General features: G+C 40.1%; 2 annotated features.

Moving 5' to 3' along the window:
• Positions 6,002–6,051: an enhancer, noted in NCBI's record as "active region_1159". NCBI's record gives its function as "activates an Ori minimal core promoter by ATAC-STARR-seq in GM12878 lymphoblastoid cells {active_cell/tissue: GM12878}" and the evidence as "EXISTENCE:reporter gene assay evidence [ECO:0000049][PMID:35858748]".
• Positions 21,144–21,323: an enhancer, noted in NCBI's record as "active region_1160". NCBI's record gives its function as "activates an Ori minimal core promoter by ATAC-STARR-seq in GM12878 lymphoblastoid cells {active_cell/tissue: GM12878}" and the evidence as "EXISTENCE:reporter gene assay evidence [ECO:0000049][PMID:35858748]".

A 23,013-nucleotide genomic window follows, 5' to 3' on the forward strand; every position in this document is an offset into this window, starting at 1 on the left:
ACTGGCTGACTTCTAACTAACTTTTAGGTAAGATGAAACTGCACAGTTTCACTAGTTTCCTATACGGAAATCTCAAGAACCAGGTCAGACCTCAGGCATCCAAGCTAACTAGACCCTTCATGAGTGCAGAAACCATGCCTAGTACTTTCTCCTCCTGGCACAGCGTTCATGCTCAGACATTTGTTGCATCAATCTGGATGTTGATGATGTAAAATTTCAATTAACAGGAAGATCAGAAGAATGCACACTCTAGGCAATTTAACTTTCAGCTTTTCTCACTTAATTGCAATAATCTGTTCTCAGATGTCTCCCCACCCAGCACTGAACCCTCTCCAAGACAGAACAATGTTTTTTGCCTGGTCTCTTTTTTTAACCTTTGTATTCTTCACCAACAAACACTATACCAGCCCTAAGCGAAAGGAGAACCGGTGATGTTTGTTGAGCTAATGACCCAAGACACAAGTAGAACCCTTTTTATTGAAATTACTTGTGAAATATGGATCTACTTGATTTTCTTGCCAAAGGAGTAGAGTACACTGGAAAAAGCAGAGTTTGACAAACCTGTGTTCCAAGTCTTTTCCTGTACCTTCCTACCTGTGGGGATTTGGGCAAATTGCTTAAATTTTTGAGCTTAAATGTTCTCATCATTAAATGGAGCTAACAATAGACAGCCAAAGATGAAATCAGGCATAGTGTTACATACAGTAGATGCTCAATAAATCTTTGTTATCTGAATGTATGTACTCGTGGATGAAGGGATTAATTAATATTTAAAAACATCCAAAAATCACCTCTAAAAGCAGAAGGCAGCAACACATTTTGATTAATTTAGGGTTCTTGAAATCAAGTTCCAGTTAATCTAGATGTTTCTACATAAGCTTCAAGATTCTGGGAGGATAAATGCTCTCACTTTAACCCATCATATGGGACTATGCTGACACTGATAGGCTCATTGAGTTGGAAGGAAACATGTAAATCATATTATTCATCCTCTTCAATGCTATAGAATCCCTCCAAAAATATGCCTGTTTGAAAGCATCAGGTAATAGATAACTCAGCAAGGCCCTTTTGAAATAATGTAAATTATTAGGTTTCTGGGAATCAAAGTGTACTCTTCTAGAGCAACCTTTCTTGTTTGATTTTTTAAAATATTTCTAGCTAAATAAGGTATGTAATTTCTCCTCTAATTTCCTGTTCCACTTGAAAATAGGAACCAGACTTTTTGACTATGTGACCTTGGGAAAGTTTATATCACCTCTCTGCACTTCGATTTCCTCATCTGTAAAATAGAAGTAATAATAACAGCACCTATTTAATAAGATTATCTTGAGAATTAAATGAATTAAAGCTGTAAAATAGTAAAAATAGTGTCTGGCTCATAATATGCATGAACAAATGTTAACTATATACAGCTAAATGTAGCATGTTTTCTACATTGTAGCTCCTTCAACCATTATTCATATGACCTATCTTCATCGTTCTGGTCAAATTATTCTGGGCTTGCTCAAATAGACAGTGCTCTTTTAGGGTGAGTGCCTCAGAACCAAGCACCATATTTCACTCATGGTAGGGCACAGTGTGATTCTTGCCCTTCTTTTTTCTGGGCTGTATTCTATAATCCAAGATTGTATTCATTTGGAGGGATGTCAGTGACTCATCTGGATAATTCATAAGATGCTTACAGGCAAACCAAATGCTTCATACCTTTTCACATGAACCACTGTTAAACTAAATCTTCTCCACTTTGTTCTTATACAATGAAGTTTCTGAATTTTAGTGCAGAATTTATACTTCTCTGATACATTTCATCTGAAAAACAAGTAGGGTATAAGAAAGAGGGTTTTCAGTTTGAGTGTCAGATTGACCTGTTTGTAAATCCCAGCTCCAGCATTACCTGTACAATGTCATAGAAGGTATGCAATTTATTTGACCTTCAGTTTCCTTTTCTGTAGCAGAAATATTATATATGTATAAAATTATTTGGAGGCCAGGTGCAGTGGCTCACGCCTGTAATCCCAGCACTTCGGGAGGCTGAGGTGGGCAGATCACCTGAGGTCAGGAGTTTGAGACCAACCTGACCAACATGGAGAAACTCCCTCTCTGCTAAAAATACAAAATTAGCCAGGCATGGTGGTGCATGCTTGTAGTCCCAGCTACTCAGGAGGCTGAGGCAGGAGAATCACTTGAACCTGGGAGGCAGAGGTTGCGGTGAGCCGAGATCGCACCATTGCACTCCAGCCTGGGCAACAGGAGCAAAACTCTGTCTCAAAAAAAGATATTATTTGGAAAGGCAAAGGTAAGCATCTAGCACATTCAGGGCATACAATAAATGAGGGTTATTAGTAATATTAATACCCTACTATGATGATTAAATGAGATAATATGTGCATGGAAAAAAATCTTCATATTGCTGTTTTAATTCATTACTTTTGGCCTAAAAATTATTTTGAATTCTCATCCTGATAGCTCACAAACTATGCCCTTCCTACCAGAATTTATTATCTAAAGATAATAATGTATTTTATATTTTTGTTTACAGTTTAGTAAAATGTTAACTAGAACAGGACTGGGATGGGTATGTGTTAAGCTGCCTAAAGTCTGCCTCATCAGCATTGATCCATTAGTCAATGTTCCATGGGCAATGGCACTAAGTCAATTATAAATTCACCTATACACACCATCACCTAGGCCAATCTGGACAAAAACATATCAGGAAAAATGTGATCAAAGACTTTTCTGAAATTCAGACATACCATGTCTAAAGCATTTGCCTTCTTAGTATAATCTATTAGCTCTAACTAACGGAGGAAAGAGACTGTGATAGCATGTCTTGTCCTTAGGGAATTAATGCTAGTTACTGCCCTCTCAAACGGCCTACAAACCATGAGATAATAATCCATTCCAGAATTTTTCATACAATTGATGTCATGCTTGACATCGTGTAGTGCTGGACTCTTTCTTTCTAAAGAGTGGGAAAATATTTGCCTATCACACACCCCCAGATTTCTGGTCTGCTTTGTGTTCTCTCTGATTTCTGATAGATCACCAATTATAAGCCAAAAACACATTGAAAAGCCCTTTCAGTATTGTGGGAAATCATGTGCCTAGAAACATGAAACTACTTAAAGAACAGAGATGCTCTCCCAACTCCCCTTTGCTTTACGTGGCAAGTCTAGCAGAAGCACATGATATTTGTGCACACGGATGCAAGTTAAAGACATATTCTTTTAACTGAAGAACACTGTCTTCTTCCATCAAATACAGTTTCAAAAAGGATCCCCATGGAGTAGTGAAGGATGACAGGGGAATCTATCTCATTTGAATGGGTTCTTCAGAACCTACCATTGATTAATTCAGTAAACATGTACTGAGTCCTGAATACTTTCAGGCACTGTTCTAAGACATTGTCCCTATGTTTTAAGTATTGGAGTATATAAGAAAATGGATGTACAAACAAAAACCTTCAGTCCAGTATAAGAAATGCTGACTAAAGAAACACATAAAGAACACAAAATTGGGAGCATCTAACTCCTTTGGGAGAGTAAATTAGGGAACATTTCTGATAGAAGGACAAGGTTGAGTCTTTAAGAATGTGTAGAAAGCTGTCAATAAACCTGGATCGAGAGATGAAGAGCAGGAAGAAATTTGTTACAGGGGAAGGGAGAGCATGTACAAAGTAGAGAATGGGAAAGAGTATTTTTGAGGCCATTCATAAATTCATTTATTTCAAAACTATTTATAGAGTACATACTGTGGACCAAGTATTCTATTAGACCTTAAGGATACAGGGACATACAAGCAGAGGAAAACCCTATTCATTAAGTAAAGCTGCAGTCAAAGAGACAGATAATAACATTTTTAAAAGTGGATGTGTTGGGCGGGTGCGGTGGCTCATGCCTGTAATCTCAGCACTTTGGGAGACCGAGACGGGCGGATCATGAGGTCAGGAGATCGAGACCATCCTGGCTAACACGGTGAAACCCTATCTCTACTAAAAATAAAAAAAATTAGCCGGCCTGGTGGTGGCACCTGTAGTCCCAGCTACTCAGGAGGGTGAGGCAGGAGAATGGCGTGAACCCGGGAGGCAGAGCTTGCAGTGAGCCGAGATCGCGCCACTGCACTCTAGCCTGGGCAAGAGAGAGAGACTCTGTCTCAAAAAAAAAAAAAAAAAAAAAAAAGTGGATGTGTTATTAGGAATTGGTACAAGTTATCCAAAGGATGGAAATACACTAATGTGAGACTAATTTTTAAAAATCACCTTGGCTAATTTGTAAGAAAAAGGGAAGGGAGCCCTTTATGACTATAAAAACAACTTGTAATAAAGCCCCGTAGTGAGTGGGAGGAGCAGGGCATCCAGGAGGAACTGAAAGCTGACTGGTTTCACTTGGGGTAGTGGAATCGTCAGAATCAATGCTGGTGAGGTGGCACAGGCCAGGTCCCACAGGACCTGCTGGACTATTATAAGAATGAGCTCTTTCTTAAACATAATGAGTGTCTGCCAACATTTTTAAATAGGGAAATGATATGATCAGATTCCATTTGGAAAGATCATCCTAATTGCAGTGCAGGAACAAATCTTAAGAGGACAATAAAGAAATGGGAGATCTGTTAGCAGGCTATTGCAGTTATCCAGCCAAGATGAGATGATACCTTGGACTAAAGTGAGGCTGAAAGATGGATATAAATGGATGGATGTAGACTTATTTAGACATTGCATTTATAGATCTTAGTGATGGATTCTGTTGAGAAGAAAAAGAATCAAGACTAGATCCCGAGTTTTTGCCCAATATGACTAGAAAGGTTAAGTCATTCTCTGAAAAAAAGAAACACTGGGAAAGTATTAGTTGGCACAGAAGCATGATTCCAGTTCTGAGTGTGTTGATGTGAGTGGCTTTGTGACACCAAAGTGCATGTGAAGTAGACAATGGAATATGACAGTCTGGAATTCAAAGAAGTCCAGGATGGGAATTATCACAGGGATCATACATAAGGAATCTGAAGCCATGAGATGTCCCAGGGAGAGAGTGTGGAATGAGAAAAGTTGTGAGAGACAAGACTGACACGTCAGGTACTCTATTAGTTCATAAGAGACATAAAAAGATCGGCATGTAAAGGAGATTGATAAAGAGAAACCAAAGAACTAGGACAACTACCAAGAGACTCTGGCTTCTAAGAAAGCTAAACAAAGAGAGTAAAGAAGGACGTGGGTCACAATATTAAATCCTCCTGAGAGATTTATTTTTTTAAAAAAGGAAAATATTTATTTTATTTAGAAATACGAATATCACTGATGAACTTGGAGTGATGGTACATTAGCTAGTTTTTAGTAAGTAAAGAGTAAAAAGGAAGTAAGAAAAAAATAGAGGCAGTGAGAACACATAAGAAGTTCAGGTGCAATAAGGAAGATTGAGATAAAGCGCTATCTAGAAGAGGATGAGAGGTAAGGGAAACTTTTCTTTTGAAAGTACTAAACATACTTAAGAGCTACTTAAGTATATTTTAATGAAAATGGAAAGCACCCTGCTAAGACAAAGCAATTGAAAATAGAGGAGAGAGATTGAATCATTGATACTGGCTGCCTGAGAAGCAGAAATAATGTATTCCAAAGCACTCACAGAGGGATTAGTCCTGGAAGAACTTTCACAGTGTTGTCGCAGGGCTATATGCACAGCCCCACCATATGTCATGGTCTTCTTGATAATATTATGTTAATCTCTGATTCTCTTGCAGATTTAGAAGCGGCAACACTTCTCTTGCCTGAGATTGGGATGATGTGGCTGAGACTGCCTTCCTGGCAGCCAAATGGGCTATTCAGCAGTCACAACCCCTATGGGTGGTTGACCGGGGTGCCCATTTGAGCTGGGTGTGCTATGTGACCACAGATGGCTTCGGCTGGGGCCTCCGCTTTTATGTAACCATGCCACAAGAGGCACATTAGGTGATCACCCACACGAGCCTGTGCTTGGCTCAGAGCCACTATTGTCTGTAAAAGGTATAGTTACTCTGCTAACACTGTACATACAGCTTGTGCCCATGGCTCGCACCCAGGCTTGCTTGTGCCTAGGTTCGCTCATGTCCAGTGCATGAAGCGCTTGAGAATGCCAGTAGGCTTTTAGTCCCAGTAATGGAAGGTAGCTGAGCTCTGGTATTCCTTGACAGAGAAACAGCTAGCAGCTGTATATGCCGCCCTTCATGCTTGTGGGAGTGTGACAGGATGGGCTGCAGTTGTCATGCAGATGATTTACCAGATAGTGGGATGGGGTAATGATGCGTTCCTGGGTAATGACCCCCAGGACTGGGACAGCACAGACACCCAATTTAGCAAAGTGGGGTGCCTACTTAGAGTAGTGGAGTACTCTGAGTACAAGTCCCTTAGCAGCAGAGCTGCAAAAGGTCTTGGGACCTGTAGTCCTAATGCAAGATAAGGCCATAAGGCCTGAGGCACCCCCATATTCCTGATGGGGCATAGTATACAGATGAATCTAGCCGGGGTGCTACTGCTGCCTGGACCACTGTTACAGTCCAAGTTACTATAGATACCATATGGTTTGAAAGCAGGTGTGGACAAATTTGCCAATGGTCTGAACTCAGGGCAGTGTGAATAGTGACCACTAAGGAGGTGACACCTACAGTAATCTGCACCAATGACTGGGCAGTTTACTGAGGCTTAACCTTGTGGTTAAATACCCAGAAGTTACAGAAGTAGCTAGATGGTCACCGGCCCATGTAGGGCCAAGCCATGTGGCAAAACTTATGGGAGGAAGGATGACCTCCTCTGACCAGGTATGGGGATGAACAGTAACATGTTGTTGCCTGCCCCAATGCACATAAAGGTAGGGAAATAAAAACCTGGCTTAATGTAGAAAGCAACATTGGGGTAGTGTCACCATGGGGTGGTTACCTGCCATAACTTAGAGTTGTTGCCCCCTGTATTACTACTGTGGCCTCTGGGTCCAGGGTTCCTCTCTGTGGGTACGTCTCCCCACTAGAAAAACTCCCTCAGCCTTACATTCCATTCCCATTCCCTTGGGGGTGGAATGTAAGGCCTATGTGTCAGACCCGTGTGTCCAGGGCCTGTGTGTCCAGAACCTATGTATAAGGCCTATGTGTCAGACCTGTGTGTCCAAAGCTAATGTCTCCTTTGGCTTAGGGGGTGGAATGTAAGGAAAATAGATGTGCTGTGGTCAAGAATAAGCTGAGGCAGATAACCAGTCCAGCATGACTCAGCAAATTTGGAGCGCAGGCACACACCTCCGCTCTTATGTAACCATGCCGTAAGAGGCACATTAGGTGATCACCCACATGAGCCTGTGCTTGGTTCAGAGCCACTATTGTCTGTAAAAGGTATAGTTACCCTGCTAACACTGTACATACATCTTGTGCCCATGGCTCGCACCCAGGCTTGCTTGTGCCTAGGTTTGCTCATGTCCAGAGACAGAACAAAGCCACATCAAAACTATATGATTCAAGTGTTTTTCCAGCTACCCACCTGTCATCCACTGACTCCCCTTGGACCTCAGTTAGAACCTGACACCAGGATATCGGGCTGTTGTAAATTTGGAGCTGGCATGGTCACTTTCTCCAAAGCTGCCTGTTATTTCCTCCTCAACAGCAATCTCTTCCTCTTTGGTTGTAATTACATGGAATTGCAAGTCCCTTAGTTACTTCCTCAATTATAAAGAATTAACTTTCTGGGACCTGCTTTTACCAAACTCTCTTGAATACTAATGTTTCTTAAGTAGTCTAAACTATCTCCTCTGAGTCAAATTATTTTGCCTCTTTTGAGCTCTCTGTGTCTAAATTGTCACTGTAAGAATCCTATCAATGCCAACCTTGATAGTGTGTCTAACCAGTCATCTGTTGGTCAGTCAGTCAGTCAAGAAAATGATTTACTAAGTACCTAAGACCTGCTACGCGCTTTCTAGTAACTGGAATAAGTAGTTGCTCTTTTTGTCCTGTTAGCTCTCCTATTTTTCCTTTTCCTAGGTCTTTTGCAGTTAATATAATAAACTTACCCTACCACCTCAGGTTTTTAACATGCTATAACTTTTCTACAATCTATCTTGCTCTCCTATCCATTTCACAGGCACATAGAACTTTAGAATTGGAAGGGAACTTTGAAGTTAGCAGATCTGGCACCTCTTACATTTGAATGTGCATATAAATCACCTAAGGATCTTGTTTAAATGCAGATTCTGAATCAGTAGGTCTGGGGTGAGGCCTGAGATTCTGTATATTTAGCAAGCTCCCAGGTGATGCTGATAGTGCTGGTACTTGAACAACCCTTTAAAGAGCAAAGATCTAGTCTCCTGGTTCATGACTAAGAGTGTACATCAGAATGCCCTGCTTTTGCAAAATACAGATTCTGAATCAGACTCTAGGCAGTGGGGCTGGGACATATGAAGTTTGAAAAGGCAGTCTCAGAATTCCACTTCCAGTCAATATGGAATAACAGGAATTGGATTCATCATCTGCCTGAAACAACTAAAAGAAAAAAAACTGAAAAATCATGATTCACTGGTTTTCAAGACATGAGTGAATAAAAGAGTCATTTCTGGGGACATGAAACAAATGACATAAGCCCCATGATTGTCCTAGTTTACTGCCTTGAAAGTGTCTCCAAGCCATGGAATAGAGGAGAGTAACCCAAGCAGAGCCCGGCTGACTCCAGAGCTGAGAATCAGGCAAGAAAAAGATGGGCAGAGTTCTCAGAGCAGAGTACCAGAAAAGAAGGAGCTTCACAGAGAGAGGAATTCAGAAAGCCCCCTTCAAGTATATAGCAGAACACTGATTAGCACACAAGTGCCAGAAAACTACTCAAGGCAAAGAACTGCTAGAAAGGATAAGAAGTAACAAAGCCCTGTGCTCACACAGGACTGACAATAGTACCTGTATCCATCAGCCAAAAATGTCATGATTCAGGGGGCAATTTCAGAATACTCAGGAAGGACTTCCACAGGTAAGGAATAATGAGTTCTAGAGTGAGCACTGCTACAACCCCACCTAACAAATCTTAAAGGCAAGATTTAAAAAGATCAGTGTTTTTAAGCAATTTAACTGTATTGCAGAATAAATCTCAAGAATATTTATAGAAATACAAATTATCCAGCACCAAAGTAAAATTCACAGTATATGGCATTCAATAAAAAATTATCAGGCATGGAGAGAAGAGACTGTAATTGATAGAAAGGAGAAAAATCATTAAAATACTGACTCTGAATGTTAGAATTAAGAGACAAGAATAGATTTGTAATATTTCATATATATAACTCTCATGTATATAGGTTTTCATCCACAGTTGCAGGCTCATAACTCCCATAGCCCTTGTTACAAACAGATCTACAGAAGTTACAAATAGACTCTTTTTCTCTCTCTCTTTCTGATACTCGTCTGCCCTCCTTTCACCTGCCTAAGGCAGGACACTCATCTAATTGTGGATCATGAAACACTCATTCCAGAGGGGGAATCCTGCCCCATATCCTGGAGAAAGATATGTTGCAGAGATGCCAAGTAGAATCTGAACAGACAGGACTTGCTGGGTGTAGATCACACTCTTTTTGTTCAATCATATTTTGACATGGTTGGCCATGCTTCAATCATGCCTACCCACTGAAGTCTCCATAAAAGGGCCAAGAGGACAGGGTTCATGGGGCTTCTGGAGAGCTGAACTCATGAAGGCTGACAGAAAGGTAAACAAGAACTCAACCACATGCTGGGAGGGTGGCTCATCCCAACTCCAGGGAGACAGAGGCTTCTGCACTCAGGATCCTTCTGGACCTGGCCCTATGTATCTCTTCATCCAGCTGTTTATTTGTATCCTTTAAAATGTCTTTTATAACAACTTGGTAAATGTGTCTCCCTGAGATCTGTGAGCCCCTTTAGCAAATTAATGGAACCCAAAGTGGCAATCATGAGAACTCGAACTTGAAGCAGGTGAATCAGAAGTTCTGGAGGCCCAGACTTGCAACTGACATTGTGGGGTTGAGGGTTGAGGGTTGAGGCTCAGCCCTCAAACTGTTGGATCTGATGCTATCTCCAAAAGACAGTAATGGAATTCAATTGAAGAACACCTAGCTGATGTCTGCTACAGATTTGATTGCTTGCTTGCCAGTGGGGAGAAATACCAAAGTATTTTGGTATTGACTATTGTTTTGGTGTGAAAACAGAGGAAAAATTGTTAGAGTTTTTCTTAACAACAGTAAAAGTTGTATTCCATATGTTTACTACGTAAAGTAGAGATAGGGAAGATATTTTCAAAATACAGTAAATAGGGTTAATTTTAGAAGATTAGATATTGTGGAAGAAAAGATTAGTGAGCTTAAAGATGGAACAACAAAAACCAAATGAAACACAGAGAAAAGAGAATTAAGAAAAAACAAAAATGAATCAATCATCGTTGTGATCATTGTGATTTGGGACAATTTCAAATGACCTAATAATGTATAGTTGTCCCTGAAACTAATTTTCTTCCAAAATCCAAAAAAATTAAATATCTACAATGCTTATATTATATATTTAGTATATTAAAATATTATTTTTTAAATGCTGGAAATTTTCCAAAATTGATTTAAAAAAATACATGCACAAATTCAGAAAGCTCAAAAAACCCAACCACAAAAAAACTTGAAGAAAATTATGTTAAAGCACATGACAATCAAATTGCTCAAAGCCAGCGATAAAAGCCTTAAAAACATTCAGATAAGGGGAAAATGTCATGTTATATACAGAGTAACAAAGGTTACTGAACATAAGTTCAGCAGATTGCCTGCCAGAAGTAATGGAAGCAAGAAGACAATGGAACATCATCTTTAAGACACCAAAAAAGAAAAGAAAAAAAAATCCTGTTAGCCAAGAACTGCTTACTAAATGAAAATACCTTTTTAAAGTGAAGGTGAAATAAATACCTTTTCAGACATAAAAAAGATAAAAGAATGCATGGTCCCAATAGATCCACACTACCAGAACTGCTAAAGGAAGTCCTCAAACAAAAGGACTTCCTTCAGATGGAAATGTGAATCTACATCCAAGAATGAAGAACACTAGAAATGGTAACAATACTATTACATACATACCTTTTTCTTATTTAAAAACAAAAATCCTCCTTAAAAGATAGTTGCGTCTTTAAACAAAAATAAAAACAATGCAGTATATAATTTATGTTGTATATATAAAAGTAAAACAAATGACAGCTACAGTATAAGAACAGAGAATGAAGAAATGAAAGCATATTATTGTAAGGCTTTCTATTACATGTGTGTAAAAAAAAGAACATCTTCAAAGTAGGGTGTGGTAATGTACACTTGTAGTACCAGCTAATTTACCGGCTGAGGTAGGAGGATCACTTGAGCCTAGGAGTTTGAGTTTGAGTTTGATTGTTTTTCTCAAAATATTATTTGGGTTCTGTTCTTTAAAAAATGGATTAATTCATTCTTTCAGTACCTACGTATTTAGTGCTGGAGAAATAGAGATTTAAAAAGACAATCTGTGACTTCACTGAGCTTCATTGAGCTTACCTTATGGGGGAAAAGAGAAGGTAAGAGAATCTTCCATTATAATATAATACAAAAAGTACCAAGCTAGCAGTAAACAAAAGCCATTAAGAAATAATAGAGAAGAGGTTTTGCTAGATCTATTAAGGAGCCGGAAGGGATGTGGCAAGCATTCTGGGAAAAACTGATCAGAATTCTGTAGTTGCTTCATAATTTAGTTTGATCTTTTATGATTTTATTTAAATCATGCACATCTGTGCTTGGGCATTTATGTGCAAATGTGTTAGTGCATTTACATAGTGCCTGACACAGGGGTTGGCAAATAGAAAGTACTCAATAAACATTTGATAAATCAACAAAAATTACACACACACACAAACACACACACATTTTATCCACCAGAAACTGCCTTCAACTTTTTTCTTTTGTGCTTGTTTCTTTCTGCTAACTTTGGAACACCTACAGCTGCCCAGGCTTGGACCTAAGGGTTGAGGTTTCTCCCCAGTCTGGCTTATAGACTTCTATCAACACACTTGCCTTTGGGACTGTATTAGTTGATTAAAGCTGCCTTAACAAATGACTACAAACTTGAAGGCTTACAACAACAGAAATTTATTCTCTAACAGTTCTGGCAGCCAGAAGTCCAAAATTAAGGTACAGGCAGAGCCATGCTCCCTCCCAATGTTTCTTGCCTATTCCAACTTCTGGTAGTTCCAGGCATTCCTGGGCTTATAGTTGCAAAACTCAAATCTCTGCATCTATCTTCACAAACCTCCTCTGTCTCTGTATGCCTGTGTCTTTTCTTCTCCTGTCTCTTATAAGGATCTTTATTATTGGACTTAAGTTGCATTAGATTATCCAGGATGATCTTATCTTGAGATCATTAATTACATCTGCAATGATCCTTTTTTCAAATAAGGTCATATTTACAGACTCTAGGGGATAGGACATGAGCATATTTTTTGGGTGGGCCACAGTTCAACCCACTATAGGGGCATTTCGAGCAGGTTCAGGATGATAGTGAGATGAATAAGGTACTCATATCAGGTACAAAATGTAAGGGAATGCCAAGAAAAACCCTCAGTAATCAAAATAAAGAATATTTTAATGCAATAATTCTTGAAAAATCAAAATTAATGCTAAAAGCCAATGATGAACAAAGTATAAATTTTTAAAGTACAGACAGAATCAGAATTACTAATTTTTTCTTTCCTTTTTGATCTCCAATATGGTTCAGCTTTGCACTAATTTCCAGCAACAGCCCAAGCTTCCGATCCATAGTGAGGATGAGTTCAACCAAGTCCACTGTTTCCTTTGTCACAATTTAGATCACTCTTCTCAGAAACATTGCTCCAGGGAGCTTTACTCAGGAGACCAGGCTGCTATAAACTGGGCTTCCCACTTCCAGTGCAGGCTTATTTATCTTATGAATTGTGCAAACACCTCCTGAGAAGCTAATTAAAATGGAAGTCAGTGCTGCCAAGTCCGGGAAGCCTCCAAATGAGCATCATGAGGCTGCCAGAAAGCATAATTAATACACACACTCAACTTCTCACTGTGGTTTAAGGGAGGGTTGGGGGAGAAGACTCTGAAGGACAAATTAACTCTGAAAGGTGAATATAAAGTGGAACTTTCTGAGCTCCACTGCCAAGCACAGCATGGGCCAAATGAAAGGCACTGGGTATGGGTATAAAGAAATACTTGGTGTTGGGTGGATGTAGTTTAAGAACAGGAATAAAACTGAACTCACTGCATCTTAGTACCATTAAGAAACAAAAAATGTTATTTATATTTGATTTGTGTGCTACACTTGAAGTTAAATTAATAAGACATATCAGTAAGCTGGGCCTAGAAGTAAAATATAAATATAAAATCTGATATAATAACCATTGAGAAAGTGTAATAAAAAATAAAATCACATTTCTAATAGTGATGTAGGATTTTTCTACTCGGTCACTTTGCAAGTTGAGGACCCCTGGCTGGCAACACCCCACCTGGGCCTCTCTCAGCCATGCTGATGTGCCCCAGTTCATCTGTGTTATAGCTTATACCTGCGTTTAGTGGTTCCTGAGCTCTTGTACCATGCTCAAGAAGAATGAGGATATGCAGGGCATTGAAGGGTGAGGAAGATGGAGAATAACGATGAAAATGGCTTTCAGTGGAGAAGTGATGTGGGGTGAGGGTTGTGGGAGTGGATAGTTGCCCCATGGCTGGGTCTGGGTCCCTTCATGGACTCAGAATGGGGAGTGCATACTGATTGGTTTGTGAGTACGCAAAAAGGTTAAAGTGAAGACACCACTCAAAGGTGGGCATGACTGTGTAGAAAAACCAATTAGGAAAAGGTAGGTATATGTTAAATAAGTGAAGGGTGGAGATTAATCAGATGAATGTGTGCCAAATAAGACGACAAGTACTCAATCCAGTCCGAAGATTTAACTTGTAGCTTGGTTTTCAGGCTTTAAACTGTCTTTAGCTTGGACATGGGGTTTTGCCAGGGACCTGCCCCTATCTGCTTAGGCATTTGTCTGCCTCTGTCAATAGCTTGGCAAAAATATTTTTAAATACCTAGAAACAAACTTAAGAGGAAGTAAGTAGGACCTCTAAGAACTCAGAGACTTTACTTACAGCCATAAAGAAAAACTTTAAAAGACTTTACTAAGTGGTAATATGCATTACACTGGGTGAAAAGACTCCGTATGGTAATATAAATCCAACTCAAATTCAGACATAAACAGCGTAATTTTAAGAAAAGTATCAGTGGTAGTTTTGGAGAGGATTTAACAACTTGATTTTTTCACATCTTCTTTTAAAACAAATAATTTCAACTTTTATTTTAGATGCAAGGAGTACACGTGCAGGTTTGTTACAAGGGTATATTGGGATGCTGAGGTTTGGGGTACAATTGATCCCTTTCCCAGGGTACTAACCCAATAGTTCTTCAACCCTTGCCACCCTCTCTTCTTCCCAACTCTGGTAGTCCCCAGTGTCTATTGTTGCCATCTTTATGTCCATGAGTACCCAATGCTTAGCGCCCACTTATAAGTGAGAACATGAGGTATTTGGTTTTCTGCTCCTGCATTACTTCATTTAGGATAATGGTCTCCAGCTGCATCCATATTGTTGCAAAGGATATGATTTTGTTCTTTTTTATGGCTGCATAGTATTCCATGGTAACAACCTGATTTTAAAATTCATCGAAAAGGTCAAAGCAAGAGAGTAGCTGAATACATTTTGAAAGAAAAAATAGATGACATGGGTCGGGCACAGTGGCTCACGCCTGTAATCCCAGCACTTTGGGAGGCCGAGGGGGGTGGATCACGAGGTCAGGAGATCGAGACCATCCTGGTTAACATGGTGAAACCCTGTCTCTACTAAAAAATACAAAAAATTAGCCGGGCGTGGTGGCAGGTGCCTATAGCCCCAGTTACTCTGGAGGCTGAGGCAGGAGAATGGCGTGAATGCTGGAGGCGGAGCTTGCAGTGAGCCGAGATCACGCCGCTGCAATCCAGCCTGGGCGACAGTGCGAGACTCTGTCTTAAAATAAAATAAAATAAAATAAAATAAAATAAAATAAAATAAATAAAAATAAAAAATATAAAACGTGAACTTCCAGGTAACTAAAATTATTACAGAACTATAATGCTTAAGAAAAGGGATAATGTTACTGGCTAAGAAAATTGACACATGAAACAAAATAGCCTATAAACTGAGCTCCCTATGTGTAAGATTTTAATGTGGACTAGAGGCTTTGTAGTAAGTGATTTTTGAAAGGAAGGCTGAATAAATATTGATCTAATGTGGAGCTATTTATTAATTATTAGAGAAAAATAGTTGCCCCTTTCATATGTCACTTAAATTGAAATTGATTAAAGATAGAAATGAATTACAAGAAAGTATATGAGACCATCTGATCTCAAGATAGAGACAGATTTTTCGAAGCATGAAAAGAAGGAACAGTATAGAGTAAAAAATCTTTTCTCCATGAAATTTAAAATCTTTATATCAAAACTCACTGTAAGCAAGTTAAAGGAAATAATACATGTGGAAAATATTTGCCACATGTATGAATCATGATTATTGGCCTTGTATAATAGATGTCTCAAAAATCAATAAGGGTTGATTTTGATTGTTAAATCAAGAAGAAAAAGAAAACATGCCAGGTCCGGTGGCTTGTGCCTTTAATCCCAGCTATTCAAAAAGCTGGAGTGGGAAGATTGCTTCAGGCCAGGCGTTAGGGACCAGCTTGAGCAACATAGCAAGATCCCTGTCTCTCAAAAAATTAAAAATAAAAAAATTAACCAAGTATGGTGGTGCATGCCTTTAGTCCAAACTACTCAGGAGATTGACATGGGAGGATCCCTTGAGCCCAGGAATTCTAGGCTACAGTGAGCTGTGACCTTGCTGCTACACTCTAGCATGGGTGACAGAGTGATGTCCTGTCAAAAAAAAACAAAAACAAAAACAAAAAACAGAAAGAAGAAAGAAAGAAAGAAAGAAAAGATGAATACTATACACACAAAAAAATGAGTGAAACTCATGAACAAAGGGTTCATTTAAAAAGAAATCTAAATGGCCAATTTTGTGTGAAAAATGTTAACTTTATAAGTAACAAAAGAAATGCAAGTTAAAATAAAAACAGATTACCATTTCTCAAACTGATAAAACTATTTTTAAAAAATCAAACCCTATATGTGATAAATAAAACTCAAGTCTCTACATGCTCACTTTTGGAAGAAGTGTCAAGCAGTGCACTCTTTTGAAGTCTTTTGACTATTATATATCAAAAACCTAAAAAAATCCTGCCAATTCTTTACTAATTCCATTTTTAAATAGAACTGAGGAAATGATTTAAATGTACACATAGGTTTAAGATAAGATAGTCATTACAATATTAACAATGGCAAAAAACATAAAATAGTCTTAGTATCTAACAACATGAAAATAATTATATAATGGAATCCTGTGATATTATTAAACTAATATTTTGAATAATAATTATACATCGTAATGCTATATTTAGGTTTAAATTTATTAAAAGCTGTATAATAAATATTTAATAAATAAATACTTGAGCATGCAAATACATACTACAGGAAAAAAGAAAAATTATCCCTGACATATTAACTTTTTCTCAGAGCTAAGCTTTTGATTGGCTTTTTTTTTACACTTTTTCATGTTATGTTGTCCAGATTTTCTACAATTAGAATACATTATTTTATAATCAGGAAAAAAATTAATTAAAAATTTTTAAGGCTTGATCACCAGCTCATAGGATATCGACTCTAGAAAAGAACATTAACAAAAACCTGACCTGCCTTCTCATTTTTCCCATAAAGAAACCAGAGAATCAGAAAGCTAGATGGTTGGCGAAGGCCAAATGCTATTTGCAAGCAGAGTAAATGTGCCTCCCCAAATGTGCAGCCAAATAGGCCTCCCCAAGATAGCCTATTTCAAAGGATCCCTTTACAGGCACCCAGAGGGAGAAGCCACCAGCCCCCAGTGTTCTTGGGGACACGGCAGGCTAAGGGTAGTTTTCCAACTCATCTCAAGTTCTGGCCATTCTTGTTGAAAAGTTAAGACCAGAAAGTAGAGCTATGACCAGGCCTTAGTCCTGCTGCCCAAGAGACCAACCCGCGCCTGCATAGACCTCTGAGCAGATTCTGAGTTCCTTTCAATCTGGAAGGCTGCATGCCTATTTGAGAGGTGAAGGAATTGAGGGAATCTGCAAATTCTACCCACCTCACATCCAAATACACCATGGTTTTCCACTCCTGCCCTAACACTCAGATCTCCTTTATCTAAAAGTAGGTGTCAGTAGTAGTAGCAGTGGTGCTGGGGTCATTCCATAGATTACAATGTGAACGGTAGAGTTGTGGCAGATGGTGGCCTTGGTCTGGGAGGACTTGAAGGAGTCTGCCATTGAAAAAGGGCAGAAATGTACAGGCGTGCCAAGCAAAAAGAACCATGTGCAAAGGCCCAGGGCTTTGATACCGTGTGATGAGAAGTTCAGCAACGTAGGGTGTGGGGGCAGGAAGGATTGACATCTGATGTGGCTGGATTGTGAAAGGCCTTGAAGACTATGCGAGGGAGGACTATGGGAAGTCAACAGCAGGGTGTGGGAAATGGAAGGGAGTGGCAGGTGGGAACAGCGGGGGCTAGGCCCTGACAGAGGAGGAGCCATGTACCAATAGGGGATTGGGCAAACTGGACCAGCAGATAAATGGAAGTACATCCCTGATGGACTGCAGCCAAATTCAGCCAACAGCCCCAGCTCCAGGCTCAGGCCAGCCTGGACATAGTGCAGGAGGATCTAACTGGCCAGGGCCATCTCCCCTGCCCCAGCTGCATATTCCCCTCATGTGGCTCAGAGTGGACAGCTAATAGGGGATCTGTGTTTCAGAAGAAAAGGATGAAACAAGGCCATACCAAAAGAGGAAGCAGCAGAACTTTGCTCAAAAGAGTTATCAGCTGCAGGGAGTCTCCAGAAATGCTGAAAGGAGGCCTGGACAACAACTGCTTGACTGAGCACAGCCAGCTCTGTTCATGGATGACAGACATGCTTCGGTGGCCAGTGAGCTTAGAAGACAGAGGCCTGTGTTCACGTCCCAGCTCTGCCACATCTATAGTGATGGGCAAGTCATTTATCCTCTCCAACTCTCAGTGTTCTCCACTTTCCCTGTCAAAAGGGCATAATAATGGTCTCTATTTCATATGGCTATTGAGACAATAAAACAATTTATTGCATAGAACATTAATAATTCTGAAGGATTGTTGTTAACTTTTTAATCTTCTTCTTTCATCTTCCGGGGACCCAGATCCATTATTTGTATTTGTATTCCAAGAGAAGAGGAACGGGTATGTGAACAGCCACATATTGGGTCACTTTACATGAACTACCCTCTGAATTCTCCCATGGGCCCCACAAGAAGGGCATTAAGATCTCTCACGGGCAGAGAAGTTGAAATTCAGAGAAGCAAAATCACCTATGTAATATCCCAAGCTAATTTAAGGCAAACAAGTAATTCTGTCTACCCCCAAACTCCTGCCTGTCCACCAACCAGACTGCCTTCCCCAGCTCAAATCTCCACAACCTGTTAGTGCCACCTGCCCCTGTACACCTGCTGCCACGGGAACAAGGGTCCCATCCCCTCAGGCCTCACGCGGACCGGGAACATGGCCTTTGTTTTACTGGCAAAGCTGACCCAGGCCAGGACACAGCCAGATCCACCATCCCTGGGCTCGGGACTATTGTGGGTCACAGATATCCCTTTGACAGTGAGATGTCACACCTGGAACCCACTACCTAGCAAAACATAAGAATTTGGAGTAAAACACCATTTTTAAAAATCTACATGTGCCTTTATCCCACAGGGAGTTCCTGAGGCTTCAGGGAGACTTTCAGGGGTCCAGAGAACCCAGAGGGATAAGGGGCTGGGAGTAATTTTAATGGTGTAGGATCTCATAGGATGGAGTGAAGTGGAGAGTTGCGGGAGGCATTTTTACACTGCTTATCCCACAACACTCTCTAATATGGTTTAGCCCTTTCACCACACAAAGTAAGAAGCTGACGGTTAGACACACAGGGGAGAGGCTGCTTCATATGGCAGAAAGAGCTGGGACTGCCAGTCCATGAGATGTTTGTTACAGTTCTCATTTCTTTACTTATTTTGCTGGGTGATCTTGGGCAAGTGGCCTAGCTGCTGTTACAACACAACCACAATGATAACTGCCATTCATTGGGTGCTTCCCAAGGGCTAGGCCTTGTCCTAGCCTCTGAACGTTTATTATTGCATTTCCTCTTCACAATAACCATAGGAGGTAGCCATGATTTTCTCCCTTTCGTGGATGAGGGTTGAAGCATGCTGCAGACTCAAAGCCCCTCCCCAGGGCTCTACATCTACCGTAAGGCCACCTTGGGCAGACACTTCTCCTTTATAGAGCAGGGAGCCTCTGACAATGCAAACGTCAATGTCAGATAATTTTTTTTCTTTTAACAATCGTCACTCTGGATGATGCTGGGGTGGTGTGTGTGTGAGGAGTGTTTCCTAGAGAGACATTCATGACAGTTCTTAAGGTCAGGGGCGGTATGGCTGGAGCCACATTTGTGAAATTTAATCACCAAGATTCCCCTTCTTTCAAAAGAGTAGAGCTCCTTCTTCTCCTTTCCAGGCTCTCTGTTTCCGGAGCTTTGGGCTTTACTCTCTAAGAGTTTCAGATGTGTTGAAACTCTGTAGAATTCAGGGGAAATCTTGCTGGGTCAGAGCCTGCACAGTTATCCCTCTGGGAGTTTCCAGCTTTGTGTGGGCTCAATGTCAACAATTTTTGTTCGAGAAGCTCTAGAGCTGGCCAAAGGCCAAAGTTACCCTGGCCAGGTTGTTGGTGAGAAAACTTAAAGGTTATACTTCTATAAGAAGAAAGAGAAATTGTCTTAGCCACAGGCAAATGACAAATGTGTACAAGGGTTTTACATTTGCCATCTCATTCAGCTTCCACACGGGAGACAGGGGATAGTATCCCCATTTTAAAGAAGAGAGAATTGAATTGGCCAAGGTCACCCAGATAATAGTAGAATTGGGAGAGATTTTTCTTTTCAAAACCAGCTCTTCATTGCCCATCGTTCCTTGCTAATTCTCCAGCTGAGACACAGGATCATGTTGCAGTATAAGAACATACCAGACTAGCTGGGATTAAATTTTGGCCTGACTGTGGGCTAGTTACTTAATCATTCTGAATCTCAGTTCCTCATGCATGAAATGAGGCTGAAATTACCAGTATTTGCTTCACAGGGCTCTTGTGAGTTTTCAATGGGTTAATATGGGGGAAATCTTAGAACAATGTACATGACATAGTGTCAGCTATTTTAATCATATAACTTGATTTAAGAAATGCACTGTTGTTTTAGCAGGTATATAGTGTACACTAGGGGAAGGAAAATAATTCTCAGACAACAAATCAGACTCTGTGCCGGGTGGGTGCTTCAGACTCATAACTCATTTAGAGTGTTACCACAGTCCTATGAGTGAAGCACTTAACAGATGAGGAAACTGAGAAATAATGTGCAATGTGACTAATGTTGCTCAGCTACAGAGTATTCGAGCTGGAACACAAACCCCAGGCTGACCCTAGCACTTCTACCTTTCCCTCTGTCGTGGTGTCCGACGCCACTGGATGGAAACGAAGCAGCCCAACAAGAAAGCATGTGCTGGAAAACACATATATGTGACTAGAGGACCACCAGGGAGGGAAGGGCTGCCATCTTACTAACGTTGCCTTATTTTACAAATAAGTTATTTCCTGACCTAGTCTTCTGTACATTTAATTGTGATTAATACTGAAAATTAAAATGCACAAAGCACAGAGGAACCTGGTATTTCAGGAGCCTCCTGTAATTGATTCAGAATTTGAAGACATTCATCTGTATTTGTTGTTTATTGTCTTCCTACTATGTGCTGGATCTGAGGGTTAGAAGGTTAATGGAGGAGTGACACAAAGATTAAATAATGACACACTGAATGGCATGTTCACTAATGATGATAAGCACCATTAAAGACAGCTGGATGGAATTTAAAGGGGTAGATGGTAGTCTGGTCTGATCTAGCCAAGGGCCCAAGAGACAGCATGCAAAAGTCTAAAGGAAGAAGAGAAGGAAAGGATAAATATCACAGACAGAAAGAAAAGCATGAGCAAAGGCTTTATGGCAGAAGGAGCATAGACTATTTGAGGAACTGAAAGATTCTCTCTGTGTCTAGACCACAGAAAAAATGGGTTAAAGAAGTTCAAGATGAGGTTGGAAAGGCAGGAAGGGGCCAGAGTATGCAGAACACTGGTTATCATATAGAATCGGTCTTTGTTCTAAAAGGATGGGGAGGGATTCAGATAAAAAAAATTAAGATTTTTTTACAAGGGCTGTAAAATTGCAAGTAATCTGTTTAGGTTATGATTAACACAACATCATATCATTGTATTATATACTAACATATGGTTAGTATCCATCATATTGTGAAGGTATGACAAACAGCCTTCAACTTACATCCAATTCTGAGGATAATTAATGGCTATGGGAATAATGTGTTGAGACTCAGTGGGTATATCTGGATCCAGTAGGAATGAATACTATTATCCATTAACAATATAGGCCTGTCCAGGCACAGTGGCTCATGCCTATAATCCCAGCCCTTTGGGAGGCTGAGGGGGGCAGATTGCTTGAGGCCAGGAGTTTGAGACCAGCCTGGCCAACATGGTGAAACCCTGTCTTTACAAAAAATACAAAAATTAGCCAGGTGTGGTGGCGCATGCCTATAGTCCCAACTACTCGGGAGGCTGAGGCATAAGAATTCTTGAACCCAGGAGGTGGAGTTTGCAGTGAGCCGAGATCGTGCCACTGCACTCCAGCCTGGGCGACAGAGAGACTCTGTCTCAAAAAACAAAACCAAACAATGTAAACCTGGAATAGACTGAAGCTGGGTGTTCTAACTGTGGCTGCATAAAGCAAAGGGGCTCTGTCATAAGACTGCCCCAGGTCTGAATCACAGCTGTGCCACTTGGTATCTGCTGGAACTTGGGCAGTTTACTTAGTAACTCAGAATCTCAGCTTCCCAAGCTGTAAAATAGACATAGAAGTACCCATCTTCAAGGGACTTTATGAGGATTATTGGAGTTGAAATGTTTAACAATTAGGCACATGATGGACTTCATAATAATAAACTTTCTTAATGTATAAAGAGAATTTGGAAGTATAATTGCAGAATATTTAAAGTTGAAACTACCTTAGGGTAAGTGGGAAGGAAAAAACAGAAAGGACAACTTATTTCAACTTTTCTCAACATAAGTTATCTTTAAGTATGAGTGCTACACAATAGACCTTTACAAAAACAACCAAGAGGGCAGGTGTATGCTCTGCATGCATTCATTCACCAGGTTTGGTAAATGAGTTACCCATTTACCCCGGTAGTATAAGAGATTATTAAACTGTGGCACCAAAAGACAGACATACTAGATGTTGGACACTTGAGCAAATTTGTAAGCTGTCCATCCAAATTTTTAAGCTGCAAAAAGGAAATTGTTAGAAAACCATTAGATGACTTGCACACATTGAGGAGATGAGACAGTTGGGATGCTGAAGATTAAGAGGATTTGTGAAGAGGATTTCATCAGAGAGAGGTGTTAGTGAACAGAGTCTCAGATAACTCCCGGGTTTTAACTTTTTCAGGCATAGTGCCAGGTACAAAGTTGATATTCAACAAGCATTTATTGAATGAATGATTGAATGAATAACTGATATATCACTATAACCTGAAATAGGTAAGAAATAGGGAAAGAGCATTAAGAGTCTTTAATCTTGAGGCTGCAAATAAATTATATCACATAAAATTAAGAAAGTTGGCTGGGGGCAGTGGCTCCCATCTGTAATCCCAGCACTTTGGGAGGCCAAGATGGGCGGATCACGAGGTCAGGAGCTTGAGACCAGCCTGGCCAATATAGTGAAACCCTGTCTCTACAAATAATACAAAAAATGGCTGAGTGT

The sequence above is a fragment of the Homo sapiens genome, chromosome 1, assembly GCF_000001405.40.
Source record: "Homo sapiens chromosome 1, GRCh38.p14 Primary Assembly".
NCBI classification, from domain to species: Eukaryota; Metazoa; Chordata; class Mammalia; order Primates; family Hominidae; genus Homo; species Homo sapiens.